We start from the raw sequence: 21,920 nt of genomic DNA, 5'->3' as shown, positions 1-21,920 counted from the left end.
GCACTATGCTCATCCTTGCAAATTCTCTCCTCTAGCAGAAACAACTATCAGGACCTAGTCACTCTTCCAGGGACAGATCAGGATTCTATCTTCCACCATTAAAATTTTTAAGAAAATATGTTTTGAACCCTGGTTTGCACAATGTTAACTTAAAACACTAAAGTTTTAGCCAATGAAAATGTCTTTGAATTACAAACTATTACTGCAAATGGGAAGGCTTATAATTCTACCTGATAAAAAAAAATTTTCTTAGATTATCAGCAAAGGGAAAATACAGTTTAAACATTGTCACTGAACTCATGAACCACTATAACTGTCCTCCAACCCTTAGGCACATCAGACACTAATTATGACATCTCTGGTCTATATATAAACAGTATCACATATGGTTAGTAATGGTTTCATAATGTGGTTGTCTCTGTAACTAGGCCACAAGTTTAAGGAAGAGGTTATGTCTAGTATTTTTATCTTCCACCCCTCTAGCTCTTGTTGTCCTATAGGTGAAAAACTTGATGAACATAAGCTTTCCATTTTAATCAAAGCCTTCCTCACTCCCTCTCAGCCATGGATTAAGGACCTTCACCCTGTTGCTTAGCTTCACACACTTTGTGAGCAAATTCAGGCAGCCTAGTAAAGAGCTGCTTCTTTATCCAGAAGGCCAAGAAACAGTCTGGCTGCATAAATCCTGGTGATGGGCCAGGTACCCAACTGTCCATAAAGGTGCCTTGGGCTCCTTCTCCTCTAACCCAAAGCCCTGCCCAGATAGATACAAACATAATTTATCTTTTTAAATGTACCTCAAGAAAAAAATGAAGTTTCTTCATTATATTTGGCTCCCAGCTGGGATCTAGTCCTGCCATCTAGCTCTTGGTAAGGCTTTCATTTCCTCCAGGACAGTGCCCTTTCTGCCTCCAAGACAAATACTCTTCTCAGCATGTGTCTACTGCTATCAATTCTGGTTTTAAAAGCAACACCAGCCTGGATTGAGAAATATCTTACCATGCCCGCTTAGAGGACTGAAACTGAGACTCCTCTATTCTGAACTAACATCACCTCTCGTTGGCTTGCCATACTGAAATTCCAGCAAGCCTTGGACAATTCTCTCAAGTTAAATATTTTGGAAGTGAAAAAACAAGGAAATAGATGGATCCTGAGGACATTTCAGTGTTATTTATTAGAATGGGAAAATACCATAAATGCCAAATAATAGGGAAAAAATTAAATAAGCTATAATACATCATGAGAGAATATTGTACAATCATTTAAAATCATATTTTGAAGTACATTTTATAGCATAAAAAGTACATTCATAAAATGTTGTTAGTTTTAAAAAACATATATATAATCAGGGCAGCTTTTTTACAACACCCACCCATACACATGGATTATACACACACAGGTATATTTCTGTATATAATACAAGGAGTGTCATTTTCTTATTCAGTTGACTCTTGAACAACACAGGATTGAACTACATGGGTACCCTTACCCATGCAACATTTTTTTCAATAAATATACTGGAAAATTTTTTGGAGATTTGCAATAATTTGAAAACACTAACTGTGTAGCCTAGAAATACTGAAAAAAAAAAAAAAGAAAAGTGAGGTATGTGATGAGCATAAAATATTTGTGGCTACTAGTCTATTTCATCATTTACAACCATAAAATATATACAGATGTCTTATGAAAAGTAACACAGACTACACATGATGCCATTCTCAGTACAGAGAAATATAAACAAACATAAAAATATGATATTATATCATGGTTGCATAAAATTAACTGTAGTACATACTATACTACTGTAATAATTTTGTGGACACCCCCTGTTGCTACTGCAGTGAACTCAAGTGTTGCAGGTATTCACTGAAAATGCCATGTGATGCTAATCACCTCTGCATGAGCAGTTCATCTCTCCCATAAATTTAATATTGCAGTAATAAGTTATATCTCATGGTTCTTAAGTATTTTTAAAACATTTGATGTAATACTATAAACCCTGAATAACACCATGGGACCCATACGAAGTGCGACTAGTGATGCTGGAAGTGCTGCCAGGAAGCAGAGACAAGTCACAACATTGCAAGAAAAAATTGAATTGTCTGATATGTACCAGAGATTGAGGCCTGCAGCTACAGTTGCCTGCCATTTCAAAATAAATGAATCCAGCACAAGGACCACTATAAGAAAAGAAAAGGAAAATTGTGAAGTTGTCACTGCAGCTATGCCAGCAGGTATGAAAATTTTATACTTTTTGTGAGATAACTTTGAGTCTCATAGTGAAAATGCACATTTTAAGTGGGCACAGGATTGCTATAAAAAAGGCATACCTATAGACTCTAATAAGATTCAAGAAAAGGCAAAATCATTACATGACAACTTAAAGCAAAAGGAGGTAAGGAATCTAAAGCTGGATAATTTAATGCCAGCAAAGGATGGTTTGATATTTTAGAAACAGATTTGGCCGAAAAAATAGCAAGATAACAGGAAAAGCAGCTTCTGCTAACCAAGAGGCAGCAGATAAGTTCCCAGACACCATATAAATTCCCTGAGGAGAAAGGATGTCTGCCTGAACAGGGTAGTTTCATTGTTTTTATTTATTTATATATTTTTTAATCAACTCCCAAGCACTTGGATGAACAGGTTTTTAACGCAGAAAAAATTTGCCCGATCTTGAAAAAAAAAAAATGCCACAAAGGACATTCACTAGTAAGGAAGAGAAGCAAGGATTTAAGGCAGCAAAGGACAGACTTACTCTACCACTTTGTGCATATGCAGTCATGGTTATGACCGGGACTGTCCTCTATAAAGCCGCTAACCCTGAGCCTTCAAAGGAAAACATAAATACTAGTTTTTTAGTTGTACCACAAGAAGGCTTGGACAATGAGAGCTCTTTTCCTGGATTGGTTCCACTGATGCTTTGTCCCTGGAGTCAGGAAGTACTTTGCCAGTAAGAAACTGCCTTTTAAAGTTCTTTTGACATTAGACAATGCCTCTGGCCACTCAGAACTCCATGAGTCCAACACCAAAGGCATCAGAGTGGTCTACTTGCCCCCAAACATATCTCTAATTCTGCCTTTAGATCAGGGGGTCCTAACGACCTTTCAGGCTCATTATGGTACCCTATGGAAAGCACTGTCAATGCTATGGTAGAGAACGCTGATAGGGAGAAAAGCATAAAAGCCTGGAAGTATTACCCTATTGACAACACCATCATTGTTATAGAAAAGGCCATGAAAGCCATGGAGCCTAAAATAATACATATCCGCTGGAGAAAACTGTGTCCAGATGTTGTAAATGACTTCAAAAAATTTACAACACAGCCAGCCAAGAAAATCACCAAAGAGACTGTGGATATGGCCAAAAAAAAAAAAAAAAAAAAAGGCAGTGGGTAAAGGGTTTCAAGATATGGGTCTTGAGGAAATTCAACAGCTAATACACCACACAAGAGGAATTAACAGAGGACAACTTAATAGAGAAAAGTGCTTCTAAACCACTGTCAGATGATGAAGAAGATACAGAAGAAGCAGTACCAGAAAACAAACTGACATTACACAATCTGGCAGAAGGGTTCTGATTATTCGAGACTGCTTTTGCCTTCTTTTACAACGTGGACCCTTCTATGATACAGGCACTGAACTATAGCAAATGGCTGAAGAAGGATTGGTCCCATAAAAAAACATTTTTAGAGAAATAAAAAAAGTAAAAAGCTTACTTTCTGTAAAGTGTAACTTTACACTTCAAAAAAGTTACACTTTACAAAAAGGCGTAAAGTTACACGAGTGTGCCTGCCTCTCCTGCCTCCCCTTCTACCTCCTCCACTTCTGCCTCTGCCACCCTGGAGACATCAAGACCAGCTCCTCCTCTTCCTCCTCCTCAGCCTACTCAACATGAAGACGAAGAGGATGAAGACCTTCATAATGATCCACTTCCACTTAATAAATAGTAAATATAAGACTATACTTTCAGGGATCATTTCTATACTTCATTACTAGAGAAGTTTCTCTGAATGTGTAGAGTACCAACTTCTACGCAAATAAACTAGAAAATCTAGAAGAAATGGACAAATTCCTGGACACATACCCTCTCCTAAGACTAAACCAAGAAGAGGTCAAACCCTGAATAGAACAATAACAAGTTCTGAAATTGAGGCAGCAATTAGTAGCCTACCAACCAAAAAAAGTCCAGGACCAGACGGATTCACAGCTGAATGTTACCAGAGGTACAAAGAGGAGCTGGTACCATTCCTTCTGAAACTATTCCAGACAATAGAAAAAGAGGAAATGCTCCCTAACTCATTTGATGAGGCCAGCATCATCCTGATACCAAAACCTGGCAGAGACACATCAAAAAAGGAAAATTTCAGGCCAATATCCCTAATGAACATCAATGCAAAAATCTTCAATAAAATACTGGAAAACCGAATCCAGCAGCACATCAAAAAGCTTATCCACCATGATCAAGTGGGCTTCATCCCTGGGATGCAAGGCTGGTTCAACATATGCAAATCAATAAATGTAATCCATCACATAATCAGAACCAATAATAAAAACCACATGATTGTCTCAATAGGTGCAGAAAAGGCCTTTGACAAAATTCAACAGCCCTTCATGCTAAAAACTCTCAATAAACTAGGCATTGATGGAACGTATCTCAAAATAATAAGAGCTATTTATAACAAACCCACAGCCAATATCATACTGAATGGACAAAAACCGGAAGCATTCCCTTTGAAAACCAGCACAAGACAACGATGCCTTCTCTCACCACTCCTATTCAACATAGTATTGGAAGTTCTGGCCAGGGCAATCAGGCAACAGAAAGAAATACAGGGTATTCAATTAGGAAAAGAGGAAGTCAATTGTCTCTGTTTGCAGATGACATGATTGTATATTTAGAAAACCCCATCGTCTCAGCCCAAAATCTCCTTAAGCTGATAAGCAACTTCAGCGAAGTCTCAGGATACAGAATCAATGTGCAAAAATCACAAGCATTCCTATTCACCAATAACAGACAAACAAAGAGCCAAATCATGAGTGAACTCCCATTCACAATTGCTACAAAGAGAATAAAATACCTAGGAATCCAACTTACAAGGGATGTGAAGAACCTCTTCAAGGAGAACTACAAACCACTGCTCAAAGAAATAAGAGAGGACGCAAAGAAGTGGAAAAACATCCCATGCTAACGGATAGGAATAATCAATATTGTGAAAATGGCCATACTTCCCAAAGTAATTTATAGATTCAATGCTATTCCCATCAAGCTACCATTGACTTTCTTCACAGAACTGGAAAAAACTACTTTAAATTTCATATGGAACCAAAAAAGAGCCTGCATAGCCAAAGCAATCCTAAGCAAAAAGAACAAAGCTGGAGGCATCATGCTACCTGACTTCAATGTATACTACAAGGCTACAGTAACCAAAACAGCATGGTACTAGATAGACCAATGGAACAGAACAGAGACCTCAGAAATAACACCACCCATCTACAACCATCTGATCTTTGACAAACTTGACAAAAACAAGCAATGGGGAAAGGATTCCCTATTTAATAAATGGTGTTGGGAAAACTGGCTAGCCATATACAGAAAACTGAAACTGGATCCCTTCTTTACACCTTATACAAAAATTAACTCAAGATGGATTAAAGACTTAAACGTAAGACCTAAAACCATAAAAACCCTAGAAGAAAACCTAGGCAATACCATTCAGGAAATAGGCATGGGCAAAGACTTCATGACTAAAACACCAAAAGCAATGGCAACAAAAGTCAAAATTGACAAATGGGATATGATTAAACTAAAGAGCTTCTGCACAGCAAAAGATACTATTATCAGAGTGAGCGGGCAACCTACAGAATGGGAGAAATTTTTGCAATCTACTCATCTGACAAAGGGCTAATATCCAGAATCTACAAAGAACTTAAACAAATTTACAAGAAAAAAACAACCCTATCAAAAAGTGGGCAAAGGATATGAACAGACACTTCTCAAAAGAAGACATTCATGCAGCCAACAAACATATGAAAAAAAAGCTCATCATCACTGGTCATTAGAGAAATGCAAATCAAAACAACAATGAGAAACCATCTCACACCAGTTAGAAAGGCAATCATTAAAAAGTCAGGAAACAACAGATGTTGGAGAGGATGTGGAGAAATAGGAACACTTTTACACTGTTGGTGGGAGTGTAAACTAGTTCAACCATTGTGGAAGTCAGTGTGGTGATTCCTCAGGGATCTAGAACTAGAAATACCATTTGACCCAGCAATCCCATTACTGGATATATACCCAAAGGATTATAAATCATTCTACTATAAAGACACATGCAAGCGTATGTTTATTGCAGCACTGTTCACAATAACAAAGACTTGGAACGAACCCAAATGCCCATCAATGATAGACTGGATAAAGAAAATGTAGCACATATACACCATGGAATACTATGCAGCCTTAAAAAGGATAAGTTCATGTCTTTTGCAGGGACATGGATGATGCTGGAAACCATAATTCTCAGCAAACTAACACAAGAACAGAAAACCAAACACGGCATGTTCTCACTCATAAGTGGGAGTTGATCAACGAGAACACATGGACACAGGGAGGGGAATATCACACACCATGGCTTGTCAGGGTGTGGGGGGCTAGGGGCGGGATAGCATTAGGAGAAATACTTAATGTAGATGACAGGTTGATGGGTGCAGCAAACCACCATGGCACGTGTATACCTATGTAACAAACCTGCACGTTCTGCACATGTACCCCAGAACTTAAAGTATAACTTAAAAAAAAGTAAATACATTTTCTCTCCGTTATGAACATCTTAATAACCTCTTTTCTCTAAATTACTTTATTATAAGAATATAGTATATCATACATATAAAATATGTGTTATTTTGTATTAAAATATGTGTTAATTGGCTTTGTTATTAGTAAGGCTTCTAGTCAATGGTAAACTAACAGTAGTTAAGTTTTGGGGGAGTAAAAAGTTATATGCAGATTTTCAACTTAGCAGGGTGTCAGTGTTCTTAACCGCCAAGTTGCTCTAGAGTCAACTGTACATACACCCAACCACACACACAGGTAGGGGTCAAGCCAAAATCCTGGGAATCAACATTGGTCTCCTCTGTCACTAGCACCCCCTTCCTCATTTTATCCATCAATAAATCCTATCAACACTGTCCTTAAAACACATTCTGAATCTGATAATTTCTTAGCATTTCCATGGTAGCCTCTCTAGTACAAGCCAGTATCTGCTCTTGCCTCCTCAATATGCCTATTCTTCCACAGCAATAATAACAATAACAATGGACTGGAAGAAATCACACCAAAAAAATCAGTAGTGATTTTATTTGGATGGCAGTTTTACCAGTGACTTAACTTACCTCTCTCATACTAGTTCATATTTTCTACATTTTATATAATACATTTGGACCATTTTGACAACCAGGAAAAAAAAACTCACTTACCATAAAATACTAGAATATGTAGCAACACTTCATTTTAAAGTTGATTAAACATTTTCTTTCTTTTTTTTTTTTTTTTGAGACAGTCTTGCTCTGTTGCCCAGGCTGGAATGCAACGGTACATTCTCGACTCACTGCATCCTCCGCCTCCAAGGTTCAAGCGATTCTCCTGCCTCAGCCTCCCCAGTAGCTAGGATTACAGGTGTGTACCACCATGCCTGGCTAATTTTTGTATTTTTAGTAGAAACGGGGTTTCACCATGTTTGCCAAGCTGGTCTCTAACTCCTGACTTCAGGTGATCTGCCTGCCTCGGCCTCCCAAAGTGCTGGGATTACAGGTGTGAGCCACTGTGTCTTGCCAATTAAACATTTTAAGTTGATTTTTTCCTTAGCTCTTGCCCAATTTTCAAGCCAGATATTAACTTTTCCAAAAAAGGTTAAAGAACTCCTTTGCCAGGCGTGGTGCCTCACACCTATAATCCCAGCACTTTGGGAGGCCCAGGCAGGCAGATCACCTAACAGTGGGAGTTCGAGACCAGCCTGACCAACATGGAGAAACTCCATCTCTACTAAAAATACAAAAAATTAGCCAGGCATGGTGGTGCATGCCTGTAATCCCAGCTACTTGGGAGGCTGAGGCAGGAGAATCACCTGAACCCGGGAGGCGGAGGTTGTGGTGAGCTGAGATTGTGCCATTGCACTCCAGCCTGGGCAACAAGCAAAACTCCATTGCAAAAAAAAACAGTCTTGATCAGACTAATTTAATATATAAATATTGAAGACTGCAACATTTTTTCCAAGTCTTCTAAATGACTCTGGCAAAAACATTAATCATATGAATTTATCTGTTTCACTCTTTATGCATCTGAAAAACTACAAAATCAAATATTTCTCTGATATGAATAAAGCTAACAGAATTGTTATAAAAAGTCTCTAGATGTTTGCTGAATAATAGCTTAGATAATATTAATATTCTTGTTTTTTAGAATGTAGCTACCTTACTTCCATATTTGAGTAGTTCTGTTTATTGTACAGGGAAAAAAATTAAAAATCTCAATGGGTAGTTTTAGGCACTTCACTCATTAAATCCATGCCTACTGTTTATCAGACATTTATTTAGCAGGCATTAGTGTTACTCACTAATATTCCAGTTCTTCTCCTTTCAGGAACATAGTGAGGTTGCTCTTCCTCATCTCTGTGAGGTTAGGTGTGGCTATGTCCCTTGCTTTGATCAATGAAATATGAGAGAAAGTAACTTGCCAGTTCCAAGCTGAAGCATCATGAGTCAGTGCAGCAGTCACCATTTCCCACCCCCCTGCTAGGACAACTAGCCTCATCCAGGCTTGCAGAGGCTTTGTTAACCCCCACTCCTGAATGAGGACATGGAACAAGGTCCTTGTCAACACAAGATTGTCTGCAGCCCCTGAGATTTGGGGTTTCTTTGTTACTATGAGGATGCTAATCTTCATTAAGTAACTAATATAAATCAGGCTCTGAGCTAGGCATTGGGAGACATACGGTAAGAGATATCATTTCCTGCCTTTACATAGCTTAGAGTACAAAGGGAAAAACACATTTATGAACAAATAATTGCTATGCATGCCTAAATATATTTGGTTGACAGGAAAAGGAACACAGAGTGGGGCGAATCCAGTGAGAGTGGTAGTTTTGAGGAGGTTGCAGTATAAAGAAATGATGAAGGAGCCCACTGAAGGGAAGGGAATCTGATTGGTATTATTCAAAAGTAGCATAAAGCCACTTGCACACCTAAAATTCTGTGAGTTAAAGGATGTAAACAAACTTCCAAGCCCATATTAGGTCAGACCACTGGTACATCCAACAAACATCCTATCTCTGATAGAATTAAAAAGCAAATCCATATAGGAAAAATCATTATTTTCTATAACACCGTTTTTTAAAATCTAGGACTGTAAGTCTCCTGGTATGAACTATATTTAATAATCGTGTATTTCTCGCTTATAGTTCTCTAAATCTTTTTCTGTCTCCACCACCATGTAAGATATGCCCTCCTGGGTCCAAGCAGCATGCCTCCCCTAAAAGTGATTTAACTTGGACAGTAATCCTTCAAGTGTTTAGGTGTGGCTACAAAAAAAATCTGAGATGTTAGAATAGACAAGAATTAATGCCAGTTAGAAAGAAGGACTTTGCTTTGAAAGAAATATATACAAAATGGGAAACAGAACTAAGTTGAGGGTATTCCCATAATATGCAGACACAGCAACCCAGAAAGCAAGCCAGGGCAGATGTCACTAAGCAGAATAAAAAGCTAAGCACTTACACCCAAACTGCATTTTAAATATTTACTCCTACAGTAAAGAATTGAAGGGTTTAATACCTCATGTCAAAATGAATACTCAAAGGTTTGGCTTTTGACTCAGCAGTATAAGACACTGATGTTATTTTTTAGATGATAAAATACATTAATATACTCGAACCTGTTTGTAGTTGGAAATGCTACTTAACCACCTGACTAAAATATTACGAAGCTCTGTCCCGTCTTTATTTGGGCTAAAGAAACTATAGAGTATTAAACTACAATACAGATTCCCTACTACCCCAGGAAGTGCCACCACTTTTCCTCCTCTCAAATATACACTTTTTCTAAAAACCAGAAACTATGATTACCAAAGCAGATTGGTTGGCCAAACAAAATATAACAGCAGAATTTTCCAAAGTAGTGTTGGCTGAAAGATCGGCTTTACAAACTCTAGGGAAGCAACAAGCAGGATATTTGCAAATAATAAACCACATCTTAGAAACAGCCATGCACCATTTCTTCTTGGCCATGCATATCTGTAGAGGAAAGTTACAGAAGACTGGGATGGCAGGATATTCCAGAGAAAATTTAAAGGGATATTCGTGTTTGATACCCCATTTTTTCTTTTTAGTTCAAGCTTATTGGTCCTGTTTAGAATGTATAAAAGGTTCTGCATTTAGAGATTTACCATCAGGTACAAATATGGAATCCATTCATTTTCCTGAAGCTTAGTTTACGTGCCACAGCTGAATGTATATGTATATTTGTTTCAACTTGATTTCTCTTAACCTTACAAATCAATTCAACTCAAAAGGTACAGAATAATTCAGATGGGTGACTTTTCTGACCCCATGAGTGACAACAACGGCTACTGATAGCTCTTGCCTTCCCTATTTCCAGAGTGCCCTTTTCATTTTAGGTGTGAGCAGGCCTAATCCCATTAGGAACTCCTAGGAAATGTGGACCAGTCATCAGTCGTGTATTTTGAATGAGGATTAGGGTGTGGGCAAGGAGAGAAGAGGCAGGAGGATGAAGAACACAGTAAGAGTTTGGTTTTAATTCCCTAGGCAATGAGAGCAGGAGGGACGTGATTGCACACATCAGAGACTGCAGCTGAGTATAGAGGAAGAAAGCAGAGTTAGGAAGGTGAGAGGTGAGGGAGAGCACACAAGAGGCATTGACAAGGTGACAACAGGAGGGAGGGAAGTGGGGAAGGGAGGTCTGTGTTAACATGTGTAAGAGAGGAGGCAAAGAAGATGCCAAAGTTTACAGCCTGTCTTCTTGATCTATGCTGATGTGTTTGTTTTGGGTTTCCTGTATATTTTACGTAAACAAAAAAGAGGTCCCAGTGAAACTATATGATCCCTGCATTATGTTACTGTGGAAAGAAAACAGTCCCAAAGGCCTTAATGGCTACATGCCTTATTACATATGTATCCACAGAATGGGCTGGGAGAAGCGAATGCATCTGGTGCCCATCTGAGAGAAAAGGCAACACAGGGAAGTCTAAACAGGAAAGAAGTTAATGTACGTTGAAATGTTTGCATTTACTTTCCAATCCATAAATTAAATCCACCCAGTGCTCTTGTTATTTTATCACCTGAAACCTACTACATCACCTCATTAGAAAACGCCAAGAAGTCATGATGAGATCGCTGGAAGATATCCACAGAAAGTCACAGTACTTTTTCCCTGGAAAATAAAATTACCTGAAAAACCAACTTAGGGATCATTTTTAAAAGTTCTTTGGGAGATTCCTTTCTCTTTGGTACAATTCTGGTAACTGTTTTGAAATAAAATTCTCCAGCTCCATTTGTATCAGATAGCACCAGAATGAAGCTAATCCCCTTCAAACTATAAATCGACAACAGTGAATTTATGATACTGTGAACTGTAGGGATCAGAGTTTCAAGATAATGAAAACACACCGAAGAAACAAAGGTTTTTTTGGAGTTTTTTTTGTTTGTTTGTTTTTTTAACAGGGTCTGTCACCCAGGCTGGAGTGCAGTGGCACAATCTTGCCTCACTGCAACCTCCGCCTCCCGGGCTCAAGCCATTCTCCCACTTCAGCATCTCCAGTAGCTGGGACTACAGGCATGGGCCACCACACCTGGCTATTTTTTTTTTTTGTACTTTTTGTAGAAACAGGTTTTTGCCATGTTTCTCAGGTTGGTCTTAAACTCCTGGGCTCAAGTAATCCACCTGCCTTGGCCTCCCAAAAGTGCTAGGATTACAGGCATAAGCCACCATGCCGGGCCAAGAACAAAGTTTTAAAAGCAAAGAAACAAATTTAAATGTCTGTTGTATTGTGCTGTGTTGTGTTAGAGAAGAGGGACTTAAAGTCTGGCCTACATAAATGCAATTATCCAGGTAATTTATACGAAGTGAGTATGGAGAATTCCCAAATTATGCAACGTATTACTTGTCATTTCACACTGTCATATACAGACACTGCCTTAGGATCATCCAATCAATATAGTAGGAATTAATCGAAGAGGGACTGACTGCAAGAGCAAGTGATAGAAAACTGTAAATCGTTTCATATTGTTGAGAAAATGCAGAGGGATTTAGATTACAGAAGCAAATTCAGGAAAATTCATTTCAAAAAAAAAATTAGGGTTTGGGTCAAAATTTCCACTTTATAACAAAGTTTGAGTCTATACTCATGCCCTGCAAGAGCCATGGAGCAGAGACGCTGACTTGGAGTCCGCATTTTGTGGCAGACAGTGGTTGATGCTTGGTGTTCAAAGCACTCCCCGCACACTGGTGGTCCACAGGCTGGTCTCTTTCAGCACTGATGTTTACAATAAGATGATGTTATGAATAAAGCATGCACTGATGACATGTAATTGAATTCAGACATCAGCTTAGAGCAGTCCTTCAGAAGCAGTGCCATTCTTTACAGGAATTCTGTGGGGGTATTTCTGTGGTGACCAATGGCAGCAGATGGGGCCTGAGGGGAAGCTTTCAGAGGATTGAAGGAAAAAAAAAATCTAGTTCAACCTGAAACTCCAAGCTTTATAGTGGACAACAATGGACACAAAAACTTCTCTCTTTTTCCACTAATCCCAACATCAAAACACATGGAAGAGGGAGCTAATTATTAGAAGCTCCAGAAACAACCACTTCCTAGCAATATTCTCATTTCAAAAGTCAAAAAGCAGCTTATTTTCCTCATCCTCTGTTCTCCAAACACCATCCTCAGTTAAACCCTTAGTCCCCTCAACTCCCCCTCTGCAAATAGACCTAGCTACTTCACAAATATTTCCTTGCATTCTTATATCCTCCTCAACCTCCTCTATCTCTGCAAACAACCCTCACCTGTCCACATATCCCCAAACTCATCTGCAAACACCCCCCTCTAAGCAAACAGCCCCAGATCCTCTCTCCTTCCAATGCTATTCCCTACAGCTTCTGCAGCCATCCATAACCCTGGACCTTCCCACTGTCTCAATACCTGTCTCCTTAGAACTTCCTCTTCTCTCACTCTCTCATCCTGGCTTTCTAACCTCTGTTCCTTTAAACTCTTCCTCCACACACAAGATTTTATATCTCACAGCAGAGAGAGAAAAAAGCCTGTTAGTAGACATAGTCTCCTTATTGTTCTGTTTTGCAAATAAACACAGCAGCAAATGGATTCCAACTCCTCTTCCTTTGCACCATGTTCTTTGTCACTCAAAGACCTGCCTGTTTGAACAAAATAATTATTACCCACTACAAACATGTAGGTAGGTGGATATTCTCCAAGGAGGATGTTTACAATTATCAAAAAGATCCAACAAAGCAGTTCCATGGGAAGAAATGTATTTTAATGGCAAAATAAGGAGGCTTGTTTATTCTTTCAGACTGAACCTATTACAACAGGCAGCTGTAAATCCTAATGTGTGTAGACACACACACACACACACACACACACAGAGACAGACACACATGCTGTCCACATGCCTACAGTGGTCTAAAACACACAAAGGCTTTTTGTGACTGCTAATGGGGACTCTTCAGAATTCAGACAAGACACATCCTCGGAATTCACCAGGTGACAGGGCTGGAGAGAAAGGTGAGGGCCGCTGGGGACCAGAATGTGGCTTTGATATCTCAGGACACCGATTACACAGTTGCTTTCTTGCTTTTCTTTTTCTTTCTTTTCCTTTTTTTTTTCTTTTTTTTGAATTTTTACTTTATCATATTCTAAAGATACCTAAAAGAAGAAGTAAGGAAGACCATTAGGGAAAGAACAAAAGACTCAAAGGATGCTACAGGAGGGAAAAGGGGCCCAGAAGGAAGTGGAGAGTGATGGGGGATAATGAGAACATTAAGTGCAGATGGAAGGAGTGGAGCACAATATGAAAGAAGTTCCAGCTTCTTCCTGTCACAATAAAAGAGTGTAACCCCAGGCTACGATTCCCTTCTGTTATCCCTAGCTGTATTGAAGTCTGAGCTCTGTCAAAGAAGAAGAAGAAAAAAAAAATTCCAGATGGTATTCGAAGGTTCCTAAAAGTAATCACAATCAACAGCAATAACCATATTTCAAATGAGGATCTTCATCTCCTGTGAGCAGAGGCTACTTTTAAATCAGTCTACATTGTTTTACGTTAGGAATTGTTAGAAATCTTATAGGTCTCTTAGTAAAGAGGGTAAGCCATCAATCATAGGGATTTTTTAAAAAGTTTTGTGCTAGTCCCTTGAGTAAGACTAGTCTGTAGGAACTTTAAAATATTCTTTAGACTCTGCAAGTAATTTAGCTGCATGTTCCCTGTGATAACTCTCTTCAGCCAGTGAAGAGGACAGGTTGGGGGAGGACAGAAAGCAGAAGCAACCTCAATAAACTTTTGTGTCATTAGTTTCCTCACACTTGCAAAATTCCTTACTTTTACATAAATCATCAAGGTGTGATTTCTTCAATTAGGCTCACATTTGTGTTAAAGGAGCTTTACCAATATTTAAAGGAGACAATATCAATAAGTATTGAAATATATATACACACACATATATATATATATAAATTCAGCTCAACACAAATTAAAAGTGTGCTGTCTGTGATTACAGAAAATACAAGGAAGAGAATAATATTTTTTTTAAAAAAAAGACAGAAATGCAATTACCTAATTCTAAAATATGGGAAAGTCCCCAGGGGTGGGAGGAAGACTCATGAATAAGCAAATGGCAAGGGGGAAAAAAAAACAAGAGGAAGAGAGAAGTATTCTCGATTAAAGAGACTGAGGGCGCATACCAATTAAATGCAATGTGTGGACATGGTTTTGGATCCTGTTTTGAACAATCCATCTATTTTTTACAATGTATGAAGCTAGGCAAGGTGGCTGAGGCTCATAATCCCAGCACTTCAGGAGGCCGAGGCATGAGGATTGCTTGAGCCTAGGAGTTTGAGACCAGCCTGACCAGCACAGCAAGACCCCATCTCTACAGAAATTTAAAAAATTAGCCAGGCATGGTGGTGCATGCCTGTATTTCCAGCTACTCAGGAGGCAGAGGCGGAGAGGCAGAGGTGGAGGCAGGGGGATCACTTGAGCCCAGGAGGGCAAGGCTGCAGTGAGCCATGATCATGCCACTGCTCTCCAGTCTGGGTGACGCAGCAAGATCCTGTCATTTTTTTTTAAAAGTATGAGCTGGGAGCAGTAGCTCAGGCCTGTAATTCCAGCACTCTAGGAGGCCGAGGCAGGCAGATCACTGGAGCCCAGGATTCGAGACCAGCTTGGGCAACATGGTGAGACCCCATCTCTACAAAATATACAAAAATTAGCCAGGCATGGCGGCACAAGCCTGCAGTCCCAGCTACTGGGAAGGTTGAGGTGAGAGGATCAGTTGAACCCAGGAAACCAAGGCTGCAGTAAGCCAAGATAGTGCCACTGTACTCCAGCCTGGGTGACAGAGCAAGACCCTATCTCAAAAAAATAAAAATTAAAATTAAAAAAAGACATATGAGACAATCAGAGAATTTCAGACTGGAAACTAGATGATAATGCTGTGGTTTTTTAAAAGTGTGATGATGATATATCTTAAAAATACTCTTAGAGTTACATTGTAAATTATTTACGAATGAAATATGATGATGTTTGGAATCTGCTTTATAACAATCCATGTTTTAGGGTAAAGTGAGGTTTACAAATGAAACAAGATTAGCATATATAAATAATTGTTGAAGCTGGGTGATAAGTACATTGATCTTTGTTTATTATTTTATTATTATTTTAGTATACATTTAAATTTTTGTGTAGTTTAATATTTTTCATGATAAAGTATCTTTTAAAAAAGCTACGTGCATTCTGCAAGTCAACATCAATAAAATGTGTATACTGCCTTAAAAATTATAGTAGCTGACTTTACAAAGAAGGTTGGGGTCATATCACTGGCTCCTAGCTGATTTTTTTTTTAAGTATAAAATACTAACTCTTTATCATACTGAATTAAGTTCCTAAAAGCTGATACATGTATTTTTAAGTAACTGGGAGAAGTTTGAAAGCAAATACATTTTCAAGATAACAAGTAAGCAGGCCATCACATTTAAGATATTTGCAAGATAACGTTATGTGGGGTAGCTAAGTGTCACCACTGCGTGCCCAAATAATGATTTCTTCATAAAACTGTCAAACCCTCCATATCAAGAATTCCAGCCTCAATTAAAAGGTTAAAATACACACACACACACACACACACACACACACACACACACACACCCCTTAGAAACTTATGTTAAGGAAGAGAGTGGAGGAGCTCTTTAGGTCAAGTTCTTCACAGAATCCTAACCAAGGATCCTGATCAAGTCCCCCGTAAAGCTAGAAGGGTCTTCCTTTACTACGTAATCACCCAGTGAAGTGCAGAATCATGGGATAACTAACTTCAGATACTCTTCTTTAATCACAGGAGTGCTACAGGGAAAAGCACCCTCTGATCTTTTGATCTCAAAGCTAATTTCAAGCAAGAGAATTATCAACCTGGGGATCATATGTAGATAAAGATGCTCTCTCTTGACCCTGAAACCACCTCCGTGGACTTTAACTGGAAGCTGAGGAGAGTGTATGGGAGGGAAACTCTCCGATCTTGCCGCCATCCTGCCCCATCCCACACTACTGATCAAAAGACACTCCCTTAAGAGTAATATTTAATTTTTCCAAAGTAACATTCCCCAGACCTAAATACTTGCTGGAATTCCCATTCCCTAACCCAAGATTTATGAACTGGGAATAGTCAGGGTACAAACAGGCTCACAAGAGGTGGAACAAACACAGGTCAACCACATCTTCCATGTTTGTAATGCATTTCGCTTTACATCACAAATTGAGTACATGAGGCCGGGCTCGGTGGCTCATGCCTGTAATTCCAGCACTCTGTGATGCTGAGGTGGGCAGATCACCAAAGGTCAGGAGTCTGAGACCACCCTGGCCAATATGGCGAAACCCCATCACTATTAAAGTACAGAAATTAGCTGGGTGTGGTGGTGCATGCCTGTAATCCCAGCTACTCGGGAGGCTGAGGCAGGATAATCACTTGAACCTGGGAGGCCGAGGTTGCAGTGAGCTGGATCGCACCACTGTACTCCAGCCTGGGTGACAGAGCAACTCTGTCTCCAAAAAAAAAAAAAAAAAAAAAAAATGAGTGGGTGGGGTAGGTTTCTAAAATATTGTAAAGTAAAAATAATAATTATGATAATATCATATCTTCATTACTTAGCAGCTGATTGTGCAGAATGAGTATTATAAAACACTTAATTTTTCCCTTCCATGCTATCTACCTTTTGACCACTTACTGCTTGAAAGAAGGGAAATAACTTGAACAAGTCAAGATAAACAATTGACTAAGTTTAATTTAATTTTAATCAATGCTTTTTTTTTAATAACTCTGGCCAAAAGATCTAATAAAGGAAATGGTTACGTTAGGATGTTATTTTTATTACAGTGGCCAATCTAGTAGAAAGAACACTGGATAGGCTGCCAGGGAAGCAAGTCAGAAGATCCATCTTAGTTCTGGTTCTGCTAACAGAACTAAGATCTGGAGCACGTCAATTCGCCTGTCTTCATTTTGTTTCAACAGGAGTTTCTCCATACTCAACATGGTGAGAGTGAACTACATGTTCTTTCTGCTCCAACTTTCTGGACTCCCACAGATACTGGTTAAATAACACAGGAGTGCTCATTACATAATGCAGGAAATGGAAATGACCACAGAACAGAAATAGTTTTAGTGATAAGGTGGCAGCTACCTAATTGGGAAAAGATTTCACCGGACTGTTGCCCATGACATTCCAAAGGCATGGTAAATTGTTTTAGCATAACATAGTGGGAAAAAGGCCTGGTCAGAGTTATGGTAATGTAATATAATATGGGTATTTGATTGAGCATGATGTATAAGAAAGGTTTTGTCTGCATTCCCATGGCTTGCAGTTTCCTTAATAAATCTTAAGCTGTTTTTGAAAAGCTACTTCTGCAATGACGTAAGCAGTGAGGCAGCCAGACATCACTTCTCAATCCCCTCTGAATATCTCTTGGCTGTGCGGCACTATTCACACTGGGTCTGCACTGGTCAAAAGAATGTAGGAGCTGGGTTTCTTTTGCCTTTATCTTTCCTTGTTTTAGCAGTAGGGTGGTCAAGAAAGAAATCTTGGAAAACTCTTGTAATCTTTAACTTTTTTGCTATTTCATAGGCTAGTTCCATGAACATACTGCCATCTAGGGCAGTCACATGCAATGTGCAAACAAAACATTCTAAGATGATCAACACCAATTCCCACTGAATTAGCAGCAAGTCTCAGAAAAAGCTGACCTGGCTTAAGGCCATCGATAAACAGTGGCATACACAATATTTTCTTTCCTTTTACTTTGTAAAGTAAGGAAAAGCACTTCATCTAATAAAATCAACCTAACACACTAAACAAGTATCTCCTGTAAAAATCCTCTCAAAAACTTTTTGACTAACCCTGTTACTCTATATCTTATTAATCTGTTTCTTTGTATAGCAATTACCTACAACCTCTAGTTTCCCACACAACAGTAAAATGATTTTTACACTTGGGTTTCTCTTATTGACCACTAGCTGCTATAGACAACTATCTTGCCTTTAAAGCAGATACAGCACAAAGCTCCTTTTCTGCAATGTCTAAGAAACATCCTTAAGCGTCATGAAAACAACTGTAAGCAAATTAACTCCCAGAAGGTTCAAATTCCTGGATGAACATAGAGAGAAGTTCTGCCTTGCTAAATGTTTACTTTGAAGGGATTTGAAAATCTGAGCTAACAATTTTGGTTTCATTTATTTTTAAAAGACAAGTTACTTTAATCAAATCCCAATAAATATTTCTAGCCAACAGTTATTTTTTTAAAAACTACTCCTGTCTCCTCTCCCATCATCTGAAAAACAGTAACAAGAATGGCCAGATGAAAGATGATAATGAAAAGACTGCTACACCCCTTTTGCATAGTACCTGCGGGGGGGCAGATCCCTTAAAAGGGCTATCACTCTTGAGTCATTTCTAAATATATCACTATGTACTTGGCTTTGAGGTGCACCCTTTGGCTAGTTGTCAAAATGATAAGAAACTATCTTAACACTTTTCAGAGGTTTTATGTCTCCCACCAAAGGCATACTAAAAACTTTCCTATATGGCCAGAACCTGTCAGATTTGAGTATTAGATAAAATAACTACCACAGGAGGACAGCTTGGCACCCAGAACTAGAATCTATAATCATGAGCCTAATGGCTAACCATAGCAATGTAAACAGGAGAGTATACATGTTTGTAATTAATCAGGCTATGGTGTACAACTTTTCTGATAATCATAAACTCATTAAGGTAACTCCTTTCTATAAACAGCCATTCACAAATACCATGCTTTTTAAACTCTCCCAAGTAATTAACAATAACTTTCTTTACTATCATTTTCTTTCCCATTAGGTAAACACATGGAATGGTAGAGACTGTGGGTGCAGGAGAAAGTACAATAGAACAGGAGGCTTGCAGATTCTGCCGCTATCTAACCCAGTTAGTTGGTTGGAGGGAAAAGATTCAGATAAGAGGATTTCTAAGGTTCCTTTTACCCCCATAGTTATTTTGTTCTACATGCTGAAAGAATAGCTAAGCTTGAATTGTCTTCTGATTCTTAATCCTAGTTCTATGCAATTGAATTTATATTAGATATCCCCTCATCAGCTTATGAATTTCTCCCACAATTTCCCCAACACTTGCTCATTTCCATATATGCCAGGTGTCTTTTTTTCTTCCATACTCAGGAGGCCTCTGTAATTCTCCCTTCTGTCCAAGCCAGCCCTATCCATTCATGTACTCTACTCTTAACCGATAAGGCAGGGAGGAACAGAAAATCTCAAATGTTCTGTTTTGTACCTGGATTCAAAAGCAACATCTGCTATGTCTGTGGAACCATCTGTTGCCTACTTTGCCATGGAAAGGACAGTACAGGCATCAGAAGTGGAGTGTCACAGGTCATATAATGGAATTACCCCTTTCTGGGACTGGGGCACCCAGGCACGTGCCCCACAGTCTCTATGGCTAATGCCACCCCTCCCCCATCGAAGCATTTATTTATTTTCTCACAGGGAATGGTGCTTTGAAACTTTTACACAAGGTCAGGTCCAGTGTGTTTTGTTTTTTGTTCCCATTTGCCTGAATCTCTATTTTAAAATTTTTAACTCCTGGGTTGTACCTAGAACTTTGTCTGCCCGCCCTTAGCTCGCTTGAGACCTTATGAGTCCTAAAGCTCTGAGTGTCTCAGTTTTTTACATCTATAAAAAGAAGGGGTAGAAATTAAGTGATCTCTGAGGCTCCCTTGTGCTCTAATGCTCCCAAATCCCATGACTTTAATCCATCTCAAAGTTGTCAATGAACACAAGTTCCTCGACCTCTATGGTATATTAAGACTCTAAATGGCAAGGACAAAAGAATCTGCTGCATACAAAACGGCTTCTATGATAAGGGTCTCTTGTTTAACACAGTTAAACAAGTTTCTTGAGGATCCAAATCAGATTAAGATGCCTAATCTTGTTAACCTACTCCCCCAGGCAATACTGTAGTGCAGGGTTTGGGGCTGCATAATTGTTTTTGTGTCCCGTGCATGGCAGGGTGCTTAACCGCATCCCAGGCCTCTACCCACTATATGGCAGTAGCACTCTCCTCCTGTCAGTTGCTACAACCAAAAATACGTTGCCAGTATCCTCTGGGGGCCAAAACCCCTCTCCCAGTGAAAACCACAGCTCTAATGTATGTCAGGACTTTAAGATAAAGCACATCACTTAGGTGTTTTTGTTTCAAAAGAGTGACATTTACACAATCAACAATTGGTACACCAAGACTTTACAGATAGATTCATAAGGCACAGGTACTCCACCTAGAAAATGTACAAAGCCACTGTCACTCTAAGCCATCCACAGCACCATAGCACTGCCTCCCTGCTAAGGGTTGAAAATCAGGATATAAAGCCATAACGTTAACTACTCCTTTAAAAATATTTAAAAGGAGACCGGGTGTGGTGGCTCATGCCTGTAATCCCAGTACTTTGGGAGGCCAAGGCAGGTGGATCACCTGAGGTTAAGAGTTTGAGACCAGCCTGACCAACATGGCAAAATCCTGTCACTACTAAAAATAGAAAAATTAGCCAGGTGTGGTGGCAGGCGCCTGTAATCCCAGCTACTCGGGAGGCTGAGGCAGGAAAATGGCTTGAACCAAGGAGGCAGAAGTTGTAGTGAGCCGAGGTAACTTCTCCAATGAACTCGAGAGTCAACCCTTGCTTATAGATCTCAAAATGGAGCTTTGAAGAAAATAGGGAAAACCAGAGATTGGTTAATCACTTTGGCTTATTTTTTCCTCTCTTGCATACACAACAAACACACATGGTAAATAAAACGTTTCTGGAAAGGTTGCTAACGAGTTTCAGCTTGGTCACAGTTATTGAACGGAGGAGTAAGCAAGCTCTCAGTCCAATTTCCCAAGTATCTTTTCCTCCCCTTTTCAAACAGGGATCCAGGCGACACTCGTGGCAGACGATCTCAACACCAAAAGAACAGCAGCTGCCAGCTGCATAAAACAGATTGAGGCCTGCAAATTGACTGAAATGATGACTACTCTTAACCAGACATCTCATTTTTCCACTTCTGACAGGCTGAGATCTGCAAACCTCTGGGTCTCAAGAGATGAAGGCTACATTAGCCAAC

The 21,920-nt window shown here is 39.2% G+C and overlaps 1 protein-coding gene and 1 pseudogene across 4 annotated transcripts in view; one reads left to right on the top strand and one right to left on the bottom strand.

Annotated features, from left to right (window-relative positions):
- PHLDB2 (pleckstrin homology like domain family B member 2) overlaps positions 1-21,920 on the bottom strand; it is a 244,022-nt gene that overhangs the window by 93,149 nt on the left and 128,953 nt on the right. The gene's annotated exons all lie outside the window — the stretch shown is intronic.
- LOC124906336 (uncharacterized) lies at positions 3,954-4,058 on the top strand (annotated as a pseudogene).

This window comes from Homo sapiens, chromosome 3 (genome assembly GCF_000001405.40).
Source record: "Homo sapiens chromosome 3, GRCh38.p14 Primary Assembly".
NCBI lineage: Eukaryota > Metazoa > Chordata > Mammalia > Primates > Hominidae > Homo > Homo sapiens.
Note: the sequence above shows the minus strand (reverse complement) of the source record. Positions and strands in the feature narration are given on the sequence as shown.